Below are 5,693 nucleotides of genomic sequence, written 5' to 3'. Positions count from 1 at the left end.
TTCTCCCTAACAATTTTCTATAGTAAAGACGTTCTACCAAGGATAATCTGTAAAGATCTCCGCAACAAAGCACCTAGCATGCAATTAAATGCATGTGCAGTTTTCTGCAACTGTTAAGGGAGTCTTCACTGAATTAAGTCAGCTGATGATCTCTGGAGGTTTATTTCTCCTATTTGATGCTCAGAGCTCTTCCTATATTTCTTCTTTTGGCTCTAGCAGAGTTTTCAGAAACAAACTAATAAAGTATGTATCAACTCTAGTCATTAGTTCTTCATAATATGGAATTGGCTTAGCAAGTAAATAAAACTGCCATTCTGCCTGACTAATAACATTGCTCAACTCTTGAGGGTTTTAAACAGCATTACACTTTGTTTCTGGGTAGCTGTATATAAATGCAAATTATTGTGTTATGTTTCCTGAAATAATCTTGGTCCTAATTATATACCAATGTGGCATGGTGGAAGTAGGTGCTAACAAAGGCAGGAAATCTCTCTTGAGAATAAGATCTGGTATGCTTGTGGAAAACTTATGCTTACATTGTCATTACATTTTACATTACCTCATTTGTTTGGATTTTATGACTATCATCTGCTGTTGTTTGGAGTGCTATGAGCAAGTAGCCCTTCTCTTCAGGATATGTCAAAAAGGTACACCAAATGTAAATAAATATTAAAAAGTGTCAACTGTTTCTAAGCAAATACTAACAATTTTTACAGTAAAAATTGACAAATACATTGTAGATCAAGCAAAAGTTAATAAAGTTATGTTCCCTAGAGCTTTCCCCAATTCCATAGGTTCATGATTAAGTTTTCCATTATCTAAAGCATCCCTTTAGTTTTCAAATTTAAAGCATCCCTTTATTTTCAAATTTTTCATTCATTTGATGTTTTCTTTATTCAGAAAATAATGCACATCTGTAATAATAAGTAAAGCAATACAAATATGCATAAAGATGGTGTTAGTTATGTCTCATGCTGCTGCCCACAGGCATTCCCTTCAAATGACCTTCCATTACTTTCTACTTCCTCATACATACATATGCAATTTTATCTCCACCCATGCATACACACATATGGGGGTTTGGAGTTTGTTGTTTCAGACAAAAAAGAATTGCATTACACATATGAGGCCCTTGCCCTTTTTATCTTGGTATGTATTTTGGATATGCTGTAAGTAATTAGATGCAGTCTCTATGTGTACTATATATGACATAATAAATGTAAACATATACACGATATATTCATTGTTCTGGAATTTTTTTCAGTTAAGTTTCTGTCTTCTTAAATTGCTTACCTTTTGCTTACCAATTTACCCTCTCTCATCTCCACCTACCAATCCAACACTACACATCATCTTCCTACCCCATCCCATCCAGATGACTGGATACTTAATTATCTACCATATTTCTCTCTCGATATATATATATAAATGTATATATTTCATAAACAGATACAGACATATAGATATAAGTAAATGTTTTATTTAATGTTTTAAGTTTTGAGCTGTTGTTCCTTTTAGAGCTATAGATCTACTGACCACTTTGGTCCGTACAGGGAATTGGAGTAAAATCTCTCTGTTTAGGAGCCAAACATGATTCAATCCCACAGGTGTTAAGGGTTTTAAGGCTCTTAAAAGAGACTGGAAGAACTCAGCGTTCTGGGTTTTCCCCGTCAATATTTTTCCTTTCAACCTTGTTAAGGTGTAATTTTTGCAATTGCCTTTTGCTACCAAACCAGAAATTTTGCTCCAGACTGTCATGTATTAGAGAATTTCTTCACAGTCTTTTCTTAACCTGTTATCACTATCACAACTTTAGAGAAAATGACCCCTCTGATATCTCATGGTGCTATATTTCTAAACTATCAGAAAATTTTAAGCTTCCTGCCACAATTTACTAAGTATGGTTTCTGGATACTGCATAATAACTCAATTATAACGATGTTCTATCCACTCCCATACAAAGCAAACCAGCTTGAGAGTTGGTAACTCTGCAGTAAACAAGTGTATAATGAATGAACAGAGCACAGCATTTGTGATCATTGTGTAGGTCTGGAGAGCAGTGATGGTTTTCAAGCTCACTCATCTGTTTATTTTAGGATGCTGAACATCTTACATCTTAGACTTGATGGAATATCTCTGACATGGCCAGTGTACAAAAGTTAAAAAAGATTTTCTGTGATCCAACTCTGAGTAGCACATACATAGAATTCTTCAGCAGAAAACATAAGCAGGTACCTTATAATAAACTTCAAATGGGCATTCTACAAGGAGAAGCACATAGCTACTATTCTAATAGATCACAAGGGTTAGACCTTAAAGCTTCATCAGGTAGAAAACATATTGGCTTTTGTTTGCAAATTCTGGGAATTTTCTGCTTCATTTTGTTCAAATGGCCATATCTGGACCCATCAACTCCTGTCAGGGCATGAAGATCATACTCAAAATTGCTGCTCCCATGGCAATCATGTGGATGGAGTTTAGGGTCCATACCAACACATGGAGGACTGGAGAGACTCTCCCATACCTAAGCACTAAGGCCTCTGTTGCTTTACTGTGATTGCATTTATGATATTTTGTCAACCCCTCTTGATGTTAACCTTTGTGAAGGCAGGGAACATGCCAATACTACTGACCGTGTAATTGTCAGCATCTAGCTCAGCGTCAGAATTTACGTTATTACTCTAGAAATCCTTTCTGAAAAAATCCATGTTTGAAGAGAGGAAGATTAAGAAGTTTCTCTTCCCAGAAAGTTGGTGGGCCCTTGATTTTCCTGCCATGACTCCCTTTTCATTTCCTTTTTAACTTTTATCTGCTCCTTCCCTGATTTGCAAACACCTTTTTTTTTAATTCACCTATAATTATTGGAATACTCTATGATATGGTTTGGCCTTGTTCCCCCTCCCCAAATCTCATCTTGAATTGCAGTTCCCATAATCCTCAGGTGGCATGGGAGGGACCCAGAGAGAGGTAATTGAATCATGGGGTGGTTACCCTCATGCTGCTGTTCTCCTGAGAGCGAGTACTTTCTCACGACTTCTGATGGTTTTATAAGGGGATTTTCCCCCTTGTGCTCATTCTTCTCCTTCTTGCTGCCTTGTGAAGAAGGACGTGACTTCTTCCGCTTCTGCCATGATTGTAAGTTTCCTGAGGCCTCCCCAGGTATGTAGAACTGTCAGTTAATTAAACCTGTTTCCTTTATAAATTACCCAGTCTTGGATATTTCTTCAGATCAGAGTGAGAACGGACTAATACACTGTATTTCTGAAGTTACGACGAACTTTATCCAATTATTTTCTATATTTAAAACTCAGTTTTCTCCTGAGTTGTAGATTTTTGTAACAACCTGCCAGGAAAAATCTTTATTTGGCCCTCCCACAGATGACATTTACGTGTACTCAAGTAAACTTTTGCGGCTCCACTTTGATTGTCCCCCAAATGTTCCGATTCCCGTATCACATGTGCCATTAGTTCCACAGTCAGTCGTTGACTGTTCAAGTCCTTGTTTATTTTGTGCTCTGTTTTATTCCTTAGCCCCCTCCATTCTCATACCACATGGGCATGTTCTTTAACTTCTATCCCATAATAATCTATTTGATCTAGGCCTTCATAGGAATCTTAGTTGCCGCTTTTACATTAAGACCTTGCATTGGCTGCTTACACAGCCTCCAGAATGGTCGTTTGGTCTGTGGTCATACTCCTTGGCCACCTTTCCTTCAATTGGATGCCATAATTATTTGTATAAAACATGCGCTTCTTATTTTTATTTTATTTTTCCATGAGTTATTGGGGTACAGTTGGTATTTGATTACATGAGTAGGTTCTTTAGTGGTGATTTGTGAGATTTTGGTGCACCTGTCACCCAAGCAGTATACACTGCACCATATTTGTAGTCTTTTATCCCTCACCTCCTTCTCACCCTTCCCCCCACATTCCCAAAGTCCATTGTATCATTCTTATACTTTTGCATCCTCATAGTTTAGCTCCCACATATCAGTGAGAACATACGATGTTTGGTTTTCCATTCCTGAGTTACTTCACTTAGAATAATAGTTTCCAATCTCATCCAGGTAAAGGAAAATATTACAACTTTATAAAACATTATCCAGTACACCCATTGCAAAATATATATGGCCTTGATGTTCTAGTTTCTCTTCACTGCCCAGGGCTTCATTTCCTGCCAGTGACTTTGCCCACTGTTCTCTCAAGAAATAACATCAATTTATGACTTTGCAGTGCAATACTTTTTTCATGGCTTTGCATATTTGTTTCCCCTGCCTGGCATACACTTTACCTCCAATGTATTTTTCGTTGGTTAAAAATTTATTCAAATGTAACCTTCAATGAGAATATTTTTGATCTGTTTGCTCTACAATCTCGCTCTTTTGCATCCAAACATGAGCTTCTCCTCTGTGTTCCTACGTGGCTATTACATCACCTATCATGTTGTAGCATACATGTTTATTTAAACATTTGTTTTTCTGCTTAAAAACTCTTCTCCCATAAGTAACACTAAGACTTAACAGGAAGCCCTATATAGAAATTACTTAATGAGGACTTATTAAACAAGTGAGTAATTAATAAATTTAAAAAATGAATGACATTGGCCTGGCCAAAGTAAGTTTAATTAAAAATAAACCTAGAGCTCCCTACTCCTGAAACATATCAAAAAGTAATTTGCTTGGTAAATTATGAAAACACATCAGTTTGGAAGAGAAAAATGTAGTTAATCTGGGGCACTGATGTGGATTTAGTGTGAATTTAATGATGTGTGTTCTTTGCCTAGAATTAGATTGAATAACTAAGCATTATTTTTGTTTTTTTGAGATGGAATCTCATTTTGTTGCTCAGGCTGGAGTGCAGTGGTGCCATCTCGGCTGACTGCAACCTCTGCCTTTGGGTTCAAGTGATCCTCCTGCCTCAGCCTCCCCAGTAGCTGGGGCTACAGGCACCCACCACCACACCTGGCTATTTTTTTAACTTTTAGTAGAGATGGGATTTTGCCATGTTGGCCAGGCTGGTCTCGAACTCCTAACCCCAGGTGATCCACCCGCCTCGGCCTCCTAAAGTGCTGGGATTATAGGGAATCATTAAGAATTCTAATTGGGTTAAACAAATTAAAAAAAGTGTAGTAGAACAGCACCCCTGTCTCATAAGAAAATGGACCCAATTGTAGATATTATTCAGTCAGTGCCTGATAATAAGCATGTAGCATAATCATATTGGTGGCAGCAGTCAAATCCATACCCCACCACAGCCACATCTGTAGCCACAGTCCAGGATTCTAAAGGCACCAAAGCCAGAGGTATAACTATATTTACAGTCATAGCCATAGCCCAGTCCTCCGTAGTAGTTGCCATAGTAGCTCATTGTGTCAGGATTTAAGTCTCTAGCCTGAGAGGCCAGCATAAGTTTTAGTGCATAAAAACACTAAAATACTGGGTCTTTTATCAGTCTCAGTGGAGGTGTGACAAACCACAGGCACTCCTGACATTGTCATATAGACCAACCTGTATTTAAAAATCTCATTAATCTTGTATCTTTAGATTTTAAAAAAAGACTCCCTATCCTGATAAAATTGAGATTTTCTTCTCAGTATGTTATGATCCTGCCAAACAGCTGATAGACTTTAAAGGAAAAAAAAATACTGAGTTCCATGACCTTACTCACACTGATGCCGAATTTAACCTTTGTAG

The 5,693-nt window shown here is 37.5% G+C and overlaps 1 protein-coding gene across 1 annotated transcript; it reads right to left on the bottom strand.

Annotated features, from left to right (window-relative positions):
• Positions 1-5,119: 5,119 nt before the first annotated feature.
• KRTAP20-3 (keratin associated protein 20-3) lies at positions 5,120-5,392 on the bottom strand. The gene has a single exon (NM_001128077.1). The coding sequence runs from the start codon at positions 5,365-5,367 to the stop codon at positions 5,233-5,235; it is 135 nt and encodes a 44-aa protein (NP_001121549.1). The 5' UTR covers positions 5,368-5,392; the 3' UTR covers positions 5,120-5,232.
• Positions 5,393-5,693: the final 301 nt, after the last annotated feature.

The sequence above is a fragment of the Homo sapiens genome, chromosome 21 (genome assembly GCF_000001405.40).
Source record: "Homo sapiens chromosome 21, GRCh38.p14 Primary Assembly".
In the NCBI taxonomy this organism is placed as follows: Eukaryota; Metazoa; Chordata; class Mammalia; order Primates; family Hominidae; genus Homo; species Homo sapiens.
The sequence above is the reverse complement of the archived record's forward strand: the minus strand, read 5'-3'. Positions and strand labels throughout refer to the sequence as shown.